Source organism: Homo sapiens, chromosome 2 (genome assembly GCF_000001405.40).
Source record: "Homo sapiens chromosome 2, GRCh38.p14 Primary Assembly".
Classification (NCBI taxonomy): Eukaryota; Metazoa; Chordata; class Mammalia; order Primates; family Hominidae; genus Homo; species Homo sapiens.
The window spans coordinates 3,191,719-3,208,747 of record NC_000002.12 but is presented as its reverse complement, the minus strand read 5'-3'; the positions used below and the strand labels follow the sequence as shown (position 1 = coordinate 3,208,747).

Here is a 17,029-nt window from a genome sequence, read left to right as displayed (position 1 = left end):
CAGAAGGACCCGCCACGAGCCTCACGCATGGAAGAAGGACCCGCCGAGTGTTTCCTGGGGGAATTGGGGTTGAGTTATGACTGCAAGAAGTCAGCCATATGCCAAGCATACCAGAATGCCATGGCCAAATTCATTCAACAGACACTCAGTGAGCTCACTTTGGAGAGGGTAATAAGGACTTTTCCCAACAAATGGTCATTTCTCACTATTTTTAAGTAGTCCTTTTAATCAGACACAGACCTCCTCATCATATAATTGGGCCCCCTCCCAACTGACAGATGAGAAGAGGAAAGCTAACGACGGAAGCAGAGGAAGTGTCTGAAGGTGACGTGGTCTGAGTGCCAGATCTGGGGCTGTGGGTCAGGTCTGATGCCCTATAAATGAGTCCCACCCGGGCACAGAGGTGCTCACGGTGGCTCCTGCCTGCCCAGACCTCTCCTGTCCTCCTTCAGGTCTGTGAGGTTCTCAGATAACTTGCTCTTATTTGAGTATCTTGAATGATCAATAACATTTTGTCCTATGAGCATGAATTTGATTTTTGGAAAAAGTTAATTGGAACAAAATCTGGTAAATAAAATAGGTCAGCAAGCTTTGCAAAAGCTGATTAGTGGAAAACGGGTTAAAACCACATGAAAACTGATTTCCTTGTAAGACTCATAAAAAGACATTCTGAAATATTTTGAGCAGAGACTGCATCATTAAAATAAATGTCAGCTTTATAGCCAGGGATTTCAGACAATGGCCAGTGAAATTTATGTTTTGGATATTTGTTTTGAAAAAGCCATTATCTTTAAGAAAATATGTAGTCAGTGATTTACTAAGTTGCATATTTTAATATCATAGTATAATTTACCAAGTTGCATAGTTTTAATATCATAAAACTACATGTATAGTTTGATTTTGTAAATATTGGAGCTCACTAGCATTTTCTTATTAGTCTTCCACTCAGATTTTGAATAAAAGTCATTAAAAAACAAAAGTGGCTAGGTGCTGGTATCTAGCAACTGAGCGTCTTTTTCCCAAGCTCTTAAAAGACTTCTTTCTGGTAATACAAAACAAATTATATATTTTTAGAACCAGGCGTCTTTAAGAAAGAGGAGCTGCTCACCCTGGGGAGCTTCGGCACAGGCTCCCCATCAGCACCCTGTTCTGAGTGCCTGCCATGTCCAAGGGCCACCTGAACTGTGACATGCTGCTGGAGCTTTGGTGGCCAACACAGAGCCTCTGCCTTTTGTAATGTGCCATGCGGTTATAGGGCCTGCAGTATCTAGATGATGCATTCAATGTAAGACTTCAAGTTTTGCTGGAATAGCTGGGACAGGCACGGGTGAGTGGGAAGGTGCACAGAGTACAGGACGACCTGAGCCGGGGGAGGCCCGGAGGCAGTGAGTCCTCCTGCAGCTGGGGCAGCAGTGCAGCCTGCAAAACGAGGTCCCCTTCCTGCCACTCCTTAACAGTGTGACCTGAGACATGTTCCTTGGCCTGACCAAGTGTCCATTTAACAGTGGAATTACAGGTTACAGGAGAGCAGCGTTCCTCACAGCAAGCTCTTAGTGTGTGCCTGTCAGGTAGATGGACGGTGGGTGGGTGGACGCGTGGATGGGTGTGTGGGTACATGGATGCGGATGGAGCAGCTGTAATACATGATCTCCAACACTGGGCCGTGGGTGAAGGTTACCCAATAGGAGGGTCACCAAGAAGACCCTCGTGCAGAGGCAAGACAGAACTTGAGGTCCCAGAAAGCAGTCTGTGTCTCCTTCATAATTAAATGACTTTCCCCAAAGCCAGCGAATGATCATTACAGTTCAGACATGAGGGATCCGGCGTGCTTTCATGACGCGCTGCTCCCAGTGTTTTCTGCCCTCATTATTCTTTTTAAAAGATCTTTTTCCCTCTCCCAAGGATTGCCTCTAATTAGACCCACCTCTCCAACAGATCACTAATGTCTAATTGGGGTTGCAGAAATATTTCTTATAGTCTATCTTGGTAAAAAAAAAATAATTCTGATCTGTACTCATGGTCTTTCCAATTTTGAGTGTGTAAAACTGAGGTCACATCTGCATTTTGGGGTTTAAGACACAGTTTTTCTCCAGAAACAGAGCTTAGATTTTTGTGTAGCAAAGGAGGAGTGAAAAGACCCTTTTAGTTCTATTCTTCCTACAAATAGAATCCTTTTAGAAATAAACTAAAAATAAGTTTAAAACGGCACATCCTGTCACCTAATGGGGACAGCTGATGCCCTGTGTACATTTTCTGATACAGGAAGGCTCTACTCTTCCAGGAGGCCACAATGCAGACTCTCATGCGGGTCAGCTCTGTGCATCTCAGACTTCGTCTCCCCAGGGGATGGTACCCTTGGTGGTGTGTGGGAGCCTGCAGCCCACTGGGGGCTCTGTGTCCCATTCAAGCTGGGTGTGCAGAGCCTCCCTCAGGGCTAAGGGCCTACCTGCCGTGTGACCCTGGCAGGACAACCTCCACCCTTTCTCTGTCCCCTGGTGCTACCAGCTCCTGCCATCTGGAAACAGGAGCCCTGGCAGCCAGGTATCCCACCACAAGAGCCTGGGTGTCCCGCCAGGAGAGCCCAAGTGTGCCACCAGGAGAGCCCAGCCCTCCCAAGATCCTCTTCCTTTTCTTTTTCTTCTGCATCCTGAAGGTGGCACTGGGCCTCAGGGACTCCAGCAGATTTCATTTCCATCGCCTCCATCAGACCATAGTGCTCCAGAAGGCAGCATCAGTGTTCGCCCCACATAAAGACCACTCAGAGCTCTTCTGAGTGTTCCAAGGTGCTGTTTTTTGAGTCATAGTAAAGATGAAGAAAAACATGTTTAAGATGCCTGCCACGTGCTAGGCACTGTCTGGACATTTGACCTGTATTATCTCCTTTAATCCTTATAACCCTGCAGCGTGGGTCCTTTAATATTGTCACGTGCGTGAGTTATAGGAGCTGGAGCCAAGCCTCAAAGAGACTAAGTAACCTGCCAATGATGGCTTACTCGGAAGCAGAGCTGGGGTTCAAGCTCGGGGCATTCACGTTCAAAGCTGGGACTGGAATTCCCAACCAGAGATAGGGAAGGGAAGTTTCCATAGGTGTCATCGGCATTCTCAAATGGGCACTAGAGGTGCCACAGTTAGGTTGTATTTGGCTGCAGGACACAGGGAATGACTTAAACAATGAGGAATCTTTATTATCTGCTATAACAAGAAGCTTGGAAATAAAGTGATTCAGTGTCTCCACAGCATGAAGGCCTCAGCTGCTTTGCATCTTTCCACTCTGCCATATCCACATGTGACTGCTTTCTGCCTTCATGACTGCAAGGCAGCTGCAGCAGTTCCAGCCATCACATGCAGACTCCCACGGTTCCAGTGCAGAGAAAGCAGATTTCTCTGCATCTCTGTTTGTAAGGAAGGCCTTTGTTAGAGGTGCCTCTGTCCAGTTGTCAGACATAATGGCAAGTCATGTCTAAACTAGTCATTGGCGAGAACAGTTTCCTCCTGCTCAGCTCAGAGCAGTGTCAGTCCCTGAGGATGGGATGGGAACGGGCTCAGGGTGGGATGGTCATGGCCGTTTTGTAAGCCAGCCCCTCCCGCTTGCCGTGCAGCCCAGGGTGCACAACCTGGGACACGCCTGCACCAGGTGCTTCATACGTCCTGCGCCCTAGACACCACAGCCTTGCTGTTTCTTCACCCTGCTGTTCTCTGTCCAAGGTGAGAGGGTGGTGCGTGCTTCCCTCTGCTGGTCCTCCATTTTCCTTGGTATTGGTCAGCGTGCATGTAGTAGGGTCTGCTGTGAGTGCGGCCTGCAAGTAGTAGGGTCTGCTGGGAGCACAGTCCTACATGTAGTAGGGTCTGCTGTGAGCACGGCCTACACGTAGTAGGGTCTGCTGGGAGTGCGCCTGCATGTAGTAGGGTCTGCTGTGAGCGCAGTGCTGTGTTCTCTGTAGTTTTCCTGTCCTCCAAATCAAGCCACCCTTGTCAGCTCTGTGGCTCTTGATGGCAGGAAATACAGCTTTTTGTCTCTCAAAATCTTCCGCTGAGACTCTTCTTAGATATGCTCCACATGAACTGCTAAAGACGATGCCAGGCACGTCATTTTGCTCGTTAGGAGGTGTATTCTTTTGTTCACATTCTGGCATTAGTAACATCTCCCTTGAAAGTTTTGTGGGCGCCTTTAATCATTCCTTTTGGACCAGGAAGCACTGAATATTCTTCTTTAATGTCGAAAAACAGATTACTGCATGCATTGCACCCTGTGGAGTTCTTGCTGAGTGCTGTCTCCATGTCCCCAGGAAACCAAAAATTGTGATTGATTAACCTTACAACTTACACTGCACCGTCTGCCCTGAGTAGACCCTCAGAAATTGATGGTGAAATATCTTTCAGGCTTTTATTAAAATTTACCTTCCAGGCTTCTCTGCACCTGTGAGTGTGAAGTTTTCAGGGCCTGGGAGTACAGGCGTTAGCATGACCAATGGAGTGGAGTCAGGTGACAGATCCTGTTTCTGCCTCCAGCTGGCTGTGGCCACAGGCAGCTCACCCACTCTCCCTGGGTTCTAGTTTTCCCAGCTGTGCAGTAAGGGGGGCCACAGCCCGCCTCTGAGCTGCTGAGATCCATCAGGGTCTCCCCTTATCTGGGGGCATCTCCCTTTCACCTCTGGTCAGTGCCTCGTGTTAGTCTGTCTGTTGCTGGAACAGATGACCTCAAAGTGCTCAGCACGGCCCACGTGTGTGACCTCAGCTTTTGTGTGGATAACCTGGAATCCAAGCACACCTCAGCTAGGTCCTCTGCTTGAAGCCTCCCTCGCATGAGGCTGTGGTCTCAGGGTCAGTGGGGCTGGGCTTGCTGCTGGTCGGATGTGGCTCCTTCTGGGCTGCTGGACTGAGGGCCTGGATTCCTCCAGCTGTTGGCCAGAGGCCGCCCTCAGCTCCTGGCCGTGTGGCCCCACAGTGTGGAGCTTGCCTCATCCCAGCCAGCAAGATGAAGCCCAGATCTCTTCTCATCTAATCCGCTGAGGGACCCCGCCCTGCGGTGCTGGTCAGAGGCCAGCCGCTCTGGGGCAGGGACTCCATAGGCCACCAAGTCCGAGGGCCATCCCAGACGCTGCCGACCATGGGCCTCTTCTGCCTCCGGCTTCCCTGGTTTTCAGCCTCCTCATGTCACAGCTTCACCTCTGCCAGCTCTGCTTTTTTTATCTACCCTCCAGCTGGAGGAGGCGCCCCGACTGCGGGCTCTCCTGTCCGACTCAGTGCTGTGCTGTCCCGGCCTCCTGGCCTGGTCTGTTTTGTCGCTGACTACCGGCACGTGGTTCCCCTTCAATCAGGTTTATTTACGTTACCTATCTCTCTGCCTTGGTGAGGCTTTTGTTTTTGCCAGGAATGGCTCACTCCTGTGTTTCACTGATGTAGGTTCTGTTCAGTCTGTAACGCCCATCGCAGTTCCTAAGCCTCATGAAAGCTTTCCCTAGTTACTCTAACCTGGATGAGTTCTACTTTATTTGAAATCCCTCTCAACGTACGTTATTATCATTCACCCTGGCTCTGTCACTTGTTAGCTTTTAAAACATTGTACAAGTATTTACTTGTTCCAAGCCTCAGTTTTCTCATCTGTCAAATGGTGATATTCACATCTACATCATGTGACTTGTGATAATTTCACTAGGAAATGAGCATAAATGCTCCGCACAGGGCCTGGCATTGAGTAACTGATAACGAGTTGTATTTGTTGAGTGATTTCTTTTCATTGCACACATTTACCTCGGCAGCCAGACACCGAGTGTGAGAACAAAAACCACATCTGCTGTCATGGCACTCGGCACGGCTGAGGAGCTTGCTCAATAAATACTTGTTGATCAGCTGCAAGGCTAATTGGTAGTTGGTTGATGGCTTAATTAATTAACTTACTCTTTCAAAAATCTAGACGAGTCCTTAAGCTGAAGGTTAGGATGTGTTTTATCCCGTGGGTTTTGGACGCAAGCGGTGCTCCATTTTGCTGACTGAACTTCTGCAAGGAGCACTTACGGAGTTAGAAGTTGAAGTGCAAGAGCTTGGGATGGCAGAATAGCTCTGTTGGGGGCTCAGCTTGCATTGCTCGGCTCAAGATTTCGGGCCTTCCCCTTCTGGAATGGCCCTGTGGTGTTTCGCACACACGAGTCATCAAGAACTTGTCCAGGCCACTCTGCCGAATTTGCATTACCTTCTAAAGGTGTGACCTTGTGTTTCTGTCTTCTAAAGAGTTTCATAATGAACCAATATAGTTAGTAGAAAGTTAACTGGAACACAGTATCGATTAGTTAGAAACAATATCCAGCCTTTTCATTATATCTGCTAGTTGGTCTTTTTTACTGTATTCATTGTCATCAATGGATAATCATTAACCTGATAAGTAGGTCTTCAGAAAGCTGAAATAGTACCTGTAAAAAATTTCACTTGACTTTTTTCTGTTTACCTAAAGGGAATACTACAAAGGTATTTCTTCATTCATATTGTCCATGTGGAAGTTAAGACATTGAACCTAGGCCGGGTGCGGTGGCTCACGCCTGTAATCCCAGCACTTTGGGAGGCCGAGGCGGACGGATCACAAGGTCAGAAGATCGAGACCATCCTGGCTAACATGGTGAAACCCCGTCTCTACTAAAAATACAAAAAATTAGCCGGGCGTGGTGGCGGGCGCCTGTAGTCCCAGCTACTCGGGAGGCTGAGGCAGGAGAATGGCGTGAACCCCGGGAATTGGAGCTTGCAGTGAGCCGAGATCGCGCCACTGCACTCCAGCCTGGGTGGCAGAGTGAGACTCCGTCTCAAAAAATAAATAAATAATAAAAAATAAAATAAAATAAAAAGACATTGAACCTAACTAACTGTAAGTTGCCAAAGTTAAAGCCAAAAATTAGCTCACCCTGTGTTTCTGAAATAATGTGTACACTCGAATCATTGCTAGTTTTTGACGTAATGTTGCTACCAATTCTTCTCTTTAGGAAACTGTATTCCATCATTGCTGTTGGCAATGTTTATTTTGACCTACTCCCCAACTGGCTTTTACTAAAGGTTTTCTTGTGGCTTAGCGTTTAGGGTCGTGAATTTTCCAGCTCTGTTTTCTTCCTCGGTAGCTTTGCAAGGGGGACCCTCTCCTTGGCTCCTGTGTGTCACCCTGCACACTATATGGTTCCTTGGAGCTTGCTGTGGGAGCCACGCTCTCCCTCCCTGCAGTGCCTGTGCCCCCGCTCTGTGTCTGGGTCCATGCTGAGTGTATCTGGGAGCCCGCCTCCCGCACCAGCTGGAAAAGCTGCACCCTTGCCGCAAACGTAATGAGAAGGAAGAGATGCTGTAAAATCTGATGGAGTGAAATAGGAAGGTGGGAGGCGCCTCTGATTTTATGCGCAGAGCACTCCCCTCTTTTGTTAACATCCCCCCTCCGCCATGGTTGATTGTTCCTGGCGAGTGCCTGGCCCGGCTGTGCCAGTCTACCTCCTTCTCCAGGAATTTGGGGTGAGGTCTAAGGGTTGGCTCATCTTTGGGTGCCTGATCAGGGGGATGTCAGGCCCTGGTGTTCCCGGCGCTTTTGCCTCCTGCCCTGTGCACATACGGGAGCCAGGCCGGAGTGAGAGAAAGAGAAACGGAGCAGGTGTGGAGAGAGGGGCCCAGCTCAGGGTGGGAGCACGTGCCTGGGGCTCGGCAGCCCCAAAGCCCAATGTGGTTCCTACCTCTTGGTCCCGAGACACCCCAGGCTCCTCAGGTTCAATTTCCCTTTGCTAGCGCTAGTTTGAGTCCAGCGTCCGAGCTGCTGCACATGCTGCCGTCACCATGCGGAGTGCCCAGGCCCTGCCACCTCCCTGCCCATAGCCCAGACCTGCCCAGCCTTTCTGGTTCGGTCACTCTGTCCTGCTGACAGCTGGCCTGGACCCTGGCTGTCCTCACCAAGTTCAGTGCTTGGTTCCAGCCCTGCCCCCACTGTTCTGCCTGGTGCTGTGTCGGCTGCCTTGGTGAGCCTACCAGACTCACCGCGGATGCCTTGGCCTGGTGTTCATGACTCAAGCTTAATCCTGCCGTGCTCACACGTGCTTGTGCGTTCTGGTGTCTGCCCCTGCCCCCCTCCCTGCCCCGCCCCTGTGTCCACCTTTCAGTTCTGGACAGGCTTCCCGAGGCCCCACACGTGGCGGCTGCTCCCACCTCCTCCTCTGTGTGCTCCTGGCGTTTTCCTGCTTGGTCCGTGTGTGGGATGCATGCCTGCCAACTGTCCCCACACAGCAGGAATGCAATTAACATTTCCTGCACGGAGCAGAAATAGCCCTTCAGCTTACTGTGGAGAGAGGATCAGTAAGTCACCCTTGGCACATACGACAGTAGAGCGGATAGTTTACCAGGGATATCGTAAAACAAAAGCCCCGCGCTTTTCCTAAGGAGACATCCTTTGACTTCCTGAAAGTCACTTGGTTGTGGGGATGAAAGTGGTGGGCCAGGCTGGGCAGGGACCTGGGCACAGGGGAGCTGGGCCGGGGGCACACAGGAGGCTCTCCATAAACAAAAGAAGGAGCCCATCGGCAGCCATCCGCTTGGGGCTGGGAGGGAGCGGACAGGTCCACTCCTCGGCAACACCCAGCCTGCTGGTGCCCCTGTCCAAGCGATTCCTAGAGAGCTCCTCTGACTATCACCATGGCTATTCTTCTCCCAGCTCTTAGTGAGGCCCCAGGTGCCACCTCAGCCCTAACCCCCTTGTCTGTACCCAGATGTGGACACATACTCTCCCCATGCATGCCCAGATGCAGACACACCCGTCACCTCTACCTAGATGTGGACACACCCCCCAATGCGTGCCCAGATGTGGACACCCCCCCATGTGTGCCCAGATGCAGACACACCCCCCATGCCTGCCCAGATGCAGACACACCCATGTCACCTCTGCCCAGATGCAGACACACCCCGTCACCTCTGCCCAGATGTGGACACCCCCCCATGCGTGCCCAGATGCAGACACACCCCTGTCACCTCTGCCCAGATGTGGACACACCCCTCCCCATGCGTGCCCAGATGCAGACACACCCATGTCACCTCTGCCCAGATGTGGACACAGCCCTGTTACCTCTGTCCAGATGTGGACACGCCCCCCATAGCTGCTCAGATGCAGACACAACCTCCTCGCTTCTGCCCAGATATGGAGTCATGGGTACCCTGTCCCCCCAGTGGGTCTCTTGTGTCCCCACCTTCTCTTGACCTCTTCTCACCACCACAAGGTGTTGCAGGAAGTCAGGGACTGCGAACAGAGGGACCTGCTGAAGCCGTGACAGAAGAACATAAATTGTGAAGATTTCATGGACATTTATCACTTCCCCAATCAATGCTCTTATAATTTCCTATGCCTGTCTTTACTTTAATCTCTTAATCCCGTCATCTTCGTAAGCTGAGGATGTATGTTGCCTCAGGACCCTGTGATGATTGCATTAACTGCACACATTGTTCGTAAAGCATGTGTGTTTGAACAATATGAAATCTGGGCACCTTAAGAACAGGATAACAGCAATTTTCAGGGAACAAGGGACAATCGTAAAGTCTGGCTGCCTGGGAGCCGGGTGGAACAGAGCCATATTTCTCTTATTACCAAAACGGATAAGATAAATATCGCTGAATTCTTTCCCCAGTAAGGAATATTAATAATTAACAGCCCGGGAAAAGAATGCATTCCCGGGGCGGGGGGGGGGCCCTCTAAAATGGCCACTCTGGGGGTGTCTGCCATATGCAGTTGCAGATGAGGGATGAAACACACCCTGGCCTCCTGCAGTGCCCCCAGGCTTGCTAGGATTAGGAAATTCCAGCCTGGCGAATTCTAGTCAGATGGGTTCTCTGCTCTTGAACCCTGTTAAGATGTTTATCAATGACAATGCAAGCACAGTGGGACATGGAAGTTCATTAGTGGTTGTAGTTTCGCCCTGACCTTGTGATCTCACCCTGACCTTCTGCCTTGTGATCTTCTGTTGCCCTTGGAGCATGTGATCTCTGTGACCCACACCCTATTCGTACACTCCCTCCCCTTTGAAAATTGCTAATAAAAACTTGCTGGTTTTACGGCTCACGGGGCATCATGGAACCTGCTGACATGTGATGTCTCCCCCAGACACCCAGCTTTAAAATTTCTCTCTTTTGTACTCTTTCCCTTTATTTCTCAGACCGACCGACACAGGGAAAATAGAAAAGAACCTACGTTGAATTATCGGGGGTGGGTTCCCCCGATAACAAGGCTCTGCAAGGATGGTGGCTTTCAGTTTCCAAAAATGTTTCCTAAGCATCAGAGCAGGCTTTCGGAGTGGGAGGTGAAGATGTGGCTCTTCCTGGGCCCGAGGCCTCTTCTCCCTGACTGAGCGCAGTGTCTGCGTCTCTCACTGATGACCGCCTTTCTCGGCTTCTGACCAGGACTGTTTTGAGTTCTCAGTCTCTCGCACAGCCCATTTGCATAGGACTGGGGGGACACCAGGTCTTGTAGCTCACGCCTCCCAGTGGCCACCTCTGAAATTGGGAGGCCTCTTGCTGGGAGACACCAGGAGCATCTGCAGCCAGTGCGCTCTTTCCAGAAAGCCCTTTACCTGTGGCTTAGACGGTGCCCTATTTCTCACTGGGAACTGCCCGTCTTTCTGTTCTGAGTGGTGGTTTCCAGGCAGAGCCCCTGCCTGTCTATGCAGTGGGCACTCACTCTGTGGGGACCTCTGGGACTTGTTCACCCCGAGCCTGGGTACCCAACCTGCCCTGGCCAGCAAAGCCCCTCGGTAAATCTTGTGAGATGCTGAATAAACTCCAGCACCAGCTCGGTCATTGGGCCTCTCACGGCCTGTCTAGCAGCTCGTTTGGACCTGCCCTCAGCCTGGCCAGGCCCGCCTCACCAGCCACCTGCCTCAGGCTCCTCTCAGAGGGCTCTGAAGAGCACAGCTGGTTTGAAAGTTAACGGAATTAGTGGTGGGAACTGTGTCCCTCAGGAGGACTTGGGGGCAGGTGTGACAGAGGACCCTGGGGCAGACCTGGATGCTTCCTGCCTTTAACAGTCATCCTGTGCATTGAAATTCAACCCCCAAATTGAAATAACGATGCAGCCAACATGCTCAGCCTTTGTGCATGAAATCCTAGGCGAGCAGAGAAACGAGCTGGGGATCTTCTTGCAGGCTCACAACTGGGCCCCACCCTCTTTTAGGCAGGGGGAGGTTTTAGCCCTAACACCAGCCCCAGAGGGCCTTGCTGAGGCCTTCATGGTCAGCTCGCTGGCTTGGGGTGGTCTGATTAAATGCCAGGCGAAGGCCGTGTGGGCCTCGAGACGGAGGGAGGGAAGAGGGCGTGCACTGGAGACAGCATCTGACCAAGTGAATGTGTTTGTCCCTTTGTTATTCCGGAACCGCTCAGGTGGACCTGACTTGTTTTGTCGCTTTCTTTGGGGAAAGCCAGATGTTTGAGTTGTTTTGTATTGTTTTCCTTCAAGTTCGAGTTGATTATCTCTAATCACATACTTGCAAGCAAACGCTCTTTAATAGAGGCCTATTAATATGCTTTCTATTTTTTGCTGTGCTCAGTTTTATAGATTTCCCCAAGTAAGGTTCATTTTTGCCATTTAAGGAAAGGAAACAAAGACAGAGCTTCCTAATTATCCTCAGTAATTATTTTCAATAATATCCTTGAGTATACGATATCCTCTCGCGTTTTCTGAACAGACTTCACATTCTTCTTCTTTTCTTCTTCCTTTGGAAAACATCGTGACACTCCCAGCTGGCCAGCTCAGCGTCCCTGGAAGGGAAGGGACAACTGAAGTTCACCTCAGGACGGTGGAGCCCACATCATAACTGCACCCAGGTGGCCACAGCGAACGACACCACCCTCCGTGGCTGGGACACCCGGAGCATGAGGTCAGTGAGCCCACCCGGCGCAGGCCCCACTTCCTTTCCTCCCTCACCGAGCAGAACCGGGATGATGGTGGAGCTGATGGTGAGCCACATGCCTTTGGGGGCGCATGGTTTGTCTTTATCTCGTTTTTGTAGGAAATCATAAATCTTCATCTTGTTTCTTCACCCCAAATTAAGCTAGCACATCCACTGCAATGGAACCGGTGCACCTCGGTGGCTGTTTAATGTTCCATATTGATATCTCTGCATTAGCAGGAGTTTATTATGAAAACTAGGAATTGGGGCTTTTGTAACACTGAGCGAGATGGGGACCACAGGGTGCCCGTGTCTGATGAGCCGCTGCAGGCTGACAGCTGCAGTCCCCAGGTTAAGTCTCTCCTGGGGTCGTCCTTGACCATAGCTGTGCCTTCTGGAGACACACCTATAGGGCAATCATATTTTGTCATTTAAGTAATTATACCCAACAGCCAGCAGCTCTAATGGAACAAATAAGAGCGAGTTTTCCGTTCCAGTTGTGATTTTGATAGGCAAAGGAGTGATGGTAGCACGTCTGTTGCTGTGGCAACGGAAGCCCACACAAGCTTTTTTAAGATACAGTTTATCCCCTCAGCACACCATAATTTATCACCGAGCTGAAAAGACGGATGTCATGCAATAACTCGTGTTGATTCCAGGGTGGGGGCACAACTTTAGGTTTAGTTCCAAGGCCCCTCTGAAAACTCAGGGGCTAATAAAGAATCACTTGCCACTTCCTCCTTTGTGCACGTCCGTGCAGAGGGCTTGTTTGGTTTCCTAATCAGAAGCTGGAAACCACAGACTCAGCCCGTGATGAACGTCCTGCTGAAATCCATTTCTCCATGTCCTGTGGTCATCGTGTCCTTTGTCTGCATGGTTTTTTGAAGGATGTGAAGAATTTCAGTATCTGAAAACAAGAAACTCAAAGACTGACGTTACAGACCAAACAAATAAGCAAACAAAAAGATGCCCGTGGCTTTGATGGGTGACATCTGGCAGTGGCCTCATTTTGCCCGTGTTGTGTCTGTGGTGAGGACGTGCCAGCGCAGCACAGAGGGTCCTGGCGCCTTCTCATTGACTGTCATTTCTCCTTTTGCAAGCAGCTTTGGTTTGCATGGAGCCAGGATGCCTTTGGTGCTTTTTTAGGTGGTATGATGCTTTTGTGTGACAGTTACTGGTGATGGAGCATGCAGTAACCTTTAGTTAATACATCGTGCACGTGCGACTGTCCATCTAGTTCCCCGGGAATTTGCCAAGTTTTAAATTTTCTACCTTTGCCTGTTTCCCTTGAAAGATTTAAAAGTTTAGGTATTATATTTTAGGGAAGAAATATTAAGATATTGCAAAGGTGCAGGATATAAAAACCAGAAGATTTAAAAGTGGTTTAGGGCCGGGAGTTCTAATGTGAGAGAAAAAGATGAAAGGAATTGAGTTCCTCTACTTTGGAGAGCAGAGAACAATGATGGTCTTCAGATAAAGGAAGCAAATTACAAGGCACAGAAGTTTCCCATTGCTCATCAGCCCCATTGAGGCCTGCGGTGAGGAAGGTAAATGATGCAGGAGTGATTTCAGTCCCGCCCACGGCAGTGCTGGGGAGGCCGTGCAGGTAGGAGCTGCTGGGCAGCGCCAGGCCATGGGTTCTTTGCTCTCCTGGGCGCAGCCTTTTGTTCCAAGCCACTGTCCAGCCTCACTGGATGACCTGCCCTCTGGGATTCATGACATCAGGGCCATAGGCAGGATATTATGACTTCAGACCCTGCGAGGAGCAGCCAAGGACCATAGGATCCAGGGCAAAGTGAGATGTGTGAGTGCGTGTGTGCGTGTCTGCCCTCTCATGCATAGATGTGTGCATGTGTGTGTACATACATGTGTGGGCGTGCACACAGATGCACGCGTGAGTGTGAGAACGCACGCACTGTGAACAGCCGTGTGACTCATTTCAAACAGTCCCCTTCTCCCACCCTGGAGCGAGTGGGTTGCACTGGCCACCAGCAGTGTTGGACCTGGAGCTGGTGTGGACAGTGGAATGGCAAGCCCAGCTGGCATGGTCCTTCCTGCTTTCATGGCCTTCCCCACTGCTCCTCCCTTTCTCTCTCTCTCTCTGTATATATCTATAGATAGATAGATAGCCGGCCCCTTCCTGCTTCCATGGCCTTCCCCACTGCCCCCCCCTTTCTCTCTCTCTCTGTATATATATAGTTCTATATATAGATAGATATTTTGTGTTGTATGTGTATGTATGTATATATATATAAAATTTCCCAACACTATATTCTACCTCAACTCCCTGTCTTTTTCTTTTCCTTCTTCACTGTGTCCTTCCAGAAATGTGTCAGGCATCCTGTCCAAATGTCTGGCTCAGTGTCCCCATGGCTGTTGCAGCCCCTCTGGCATGCTTTCATTCTCAAGATGATACCAAGTCACATTTTTGACGGCTACAAAGCAAAAATTCCTTCCACGGCTCGCCCAGAGGGTCACAGATACGCTTCTGGAGAGATGAGCGTGGTGCGACCACACAGGGTTGCTGGGATGGAGGAGGTGGCGCCAGCCTCTTCCTGCAGGGCAGGAACGCCGAGGGGATGAGAGCACCCTGGGCCGGGGGATTAGACAGGGTCCCGGGAAACCAGTGTGTGCCCGCAGCACGCAGTGGCTTTTCCTAATCCATTTACTATTTTCCTTTGCTGTTCTTCCTTCTCCCTCAGCCAGATCTACTGCATAGAGAATGCCCACGGACAGCTGGTGCGGGACCTTGACTTTAATCCCAATAAGCAGTACTACTTGGCCAGCTGCGGAGACGACTGTAAGGTGAAGTTCTGGGACACCCGAAATGTCACCGAACCCGTGAAGACCCTGGAGGAGCACTCCCACTGGTAGGGCCGCTCCTGGCTGCTTCAGGGAGGAGGGGATTACGCAATTGATTTTGCTAATTACTTTACCATTGGGAAAGACACAAACCAGCTTAGTTTGTGCTGCTGTGAATCATTCAATCAACCCAGTTTTATTTTTCCTAAAGAAACACTAATTCCAAATCTGAATGTTTGTGATTTATAAACGTAGGAAAAGAAGAAAAACATTAAATTCTGTTTTCTCTTGAAACAGTGCTGGTTCAAGTATACAAAAATAAATGTGCACAGATGTTCACGCAACATTATTTGTAATGCCAGAAACCTGGAAACCACCCAAATGTCCATCACTAGGGGACTGGTTAAGTAAATTAGGTGACATCCGTGCAGTGGAGATGATGCAGCTGTCGGGAGAATGTGGAGCATCTCTATGTGGCTGTGGGAAGATCTCTGAGGTCACTCATTCTCCCTAACATATTATTTGAATGTTTTTCATGTGCTGGGTACTTTTTGCTAAGTAAGTAAAAAGATCAAGTTGTACAATGGCATGTATAGCATGAATCCATTTTTATGCAAATAAAACGTGTGTGCACACACGGGTGTACACAAGTGTGAGTGACACAGGTATGTGGAGGAAATGTCTGAAAGAGTAAGAGCCAAAATCTCATCAGGAATCCTCCCCAAGTCAAAGAGGGGCATTCACTCCCTATGGCCTGCATCTCTGTATTGTTTGAATTACTTATCTGAAGCTGTATGTTAAAACCCCGGATTGGTAGTGCACACTTCTGATAAATTCAGTGACTTGCTGGAATTTCCTGTGGTCTGAGTGGCTGGGCCTCCCTGTGCCCCTGGCCATGCTGGGTGCACCTCCTAGCGTCAAGGGCCTGGCACTGTCTGCCACCTGGGCCCTGGAGCTTGTTTTGGCCTCAGCATGACGGGAGGCAGAAGCTCCCAGGCTCTAGGACCCACGCCAGCAAGAAAGCTGATCCCAGTAGCCAAAACCAAGGACAGCCCTTGTGCCCCGGGAGGCCGCCATGCCCTGGTCTCAGGACCCACAGTCACTGCCAACTGGGAAGATGCCGTGAGACTTGTTTGATATTACAGGATATCGCTAATCCACATGTTGCTTCTGGGACAGTATTTTTTTTTTTTTTTCGAATTTTAGAAAGCTTGTCTGAAATGTTGCGTGATAAGCCTTCTCCTCCTGTAGGTTTCAGCCAACATTTAGTCTTCCCTGTCTGTCTCTTGGGACTTAAGAGAAACCTGCAGTAAACCCAACCTCAGCGGAAAACTGCCTTATGTCAGGCCCTGTGACTGGGGGCCGATTGCCTGGCAGTGCCTAACGTGAGCCCCAGCCTAGTGGGGCCCTCAGAGCCGGTGTGATCCATTGTTGGTGTTGCCTGCGGGTGACAGTTCATTTCAGCAGCTGCCTTGCCCTTTGCAGGGTGTGGAACGTCCGCTACAACCACTCTCATGACCAGCTGGTCCTCACGGGCAGCAGTGACAGCAGAGTCATCCTTTCCAACATGGTGTCCATCTCGTCGGAGCCCTTCGGCCACTTGGTAGACGACGATGACATCAGTGACCAGGAGGACCACCGTTCTGAAGAGAAGTAAGGGCACGCACTGCAGAGTGGCTCACGCTGTACCAGAGCCTCCTGTCTGCACAGCCATCTCCCGAGCCAGGCTGTGTATGTAGAAAGTTTCCAGGAGTGCATTTGGGGGACACTCTCCTTACCCACTGCAGCTGTGGGGACTCACAGTTCCAGGGGTGCCGTCATTAGCAGCCCAGGTGGGAGGCACTGCAGGTGCGTTAGGGTTAGGTGCGGTTTTAAAATAGATCTATTTGTGTTTGTATTCTTATTGAATGCCATCTGTAAGATTTAAAAGACTCACTGGTCTTCAAACTTGAGCATGAATAATAATAGAACGAATATATCCCAATCCTCACAGCACTCCCTGTAAGAGACGCATCACAGTCAGTGTCTTCACTGGCGTGGATTTGAGCGTGTTGGGGTCGGGTTGTTGGCCATCAGCTCACGGGCCTTCCACTGGCTGGTAGCAGGGCGGAGACTCCAGGCCAACCTTCCCAGTCTCAAACCCGGGTCCTACTTCACTTCTAGATACTCTACAAAATGTGGTCAACCATGATGTGGGTTTTCTAGTCACACCATCATGGTTCTGGATTTTCCCAAAGCTTTTTCCTATGCACCTTGATTTCTGATCCTAGGTGAGATGGGAGATCGCTAAGGGCAGCCTCTTCATGCCCGCCTCTGGTCAGCGGTGCAGTGCCAGGGCCCCTGTGTCC

General features: G+C 50.2%; 1 protein-coding gene across 6 annotated transcripts in view, besides 3 other annotated features; it reads left to right on the top strand.

The window, feature by feature from the left end:
* Window positions 1–17,029, top strand: part of EIPR1 (EARP complex and GARP complex interacting protein 1) — a 188,849-nt gene that overhangs the window by 169,071 nt on the left and 2,749 nt on the right. For all 6 annotated transcript variants that reach the window (NM_001330531.3, NM_003310.5, NM_001330530.3 and 3 more), the window contains 3 exons: window positions 11,731–11,867; window positions 14,582–14,749; window positions 16,167–16,334. In NM_001330531.3, coding sequence (NP_001317460.1) covers window positions 11,731–11,867; window positions 14,582–14,749; window positions 16,167–16,334 — 473 coding nt within the window. The remainder of the gene's footprint in view (window positions 1–11,730; window positions 11,868–14,581; window positions 14,750–16,166; window positions 16,335–17,029) is intronic.
* Window positions 7,773–8,329: an enhancer, noted in NCBI's record as "H3K4me1 hESC enhancer chr2:3204190-3204746 (GRCh37/hg19 assembly coordinates)". NCBI's record gives its function as "activates a minimal SCP1, AML or CMV promoter by ChIP-STARR-seq in naive H9 embryonic stem cells {active_cell/tissue: H9 hESC(naive)}" and the evidence as "EXISTENCE:reporter gene assay evidence [ECO:0000049][PMID:30033119]".
* Window positions 9,614–10,152: an enhancer, noted in NCBI's record as "OCT4-NANOG hESC enhancer chr2:3202367-3202905 (GRCh37/hg19 assembly coordinates)". NCBI's record gives its function as "activates a minimal SCP1, AML or CMV promoter by ChIP-STARR-seq in primed H9 embryonic stem cells {active_cell/tissue: H9 hESC(primed)}" and the evidence as "EXISTENCE:reporter gene assay evidence [ECO:0000049][PMID:30033119]".
* Window positions 10,316–10,610: an enhancer, noted in NCBI's record as "tiled region #8446; K562 Activating non-DNase unmatched - State 13:Ctcf". NCBI's record gives its function as "activates a minimal TATA promoter and a strong SV40 promoter by Sharpr-MPRA in K562 cells {active_cell/tissue: K562}" and the evidence as "EXISTENCE:reporter gene assay evidence [ECO:0000049][PMID:27701403]".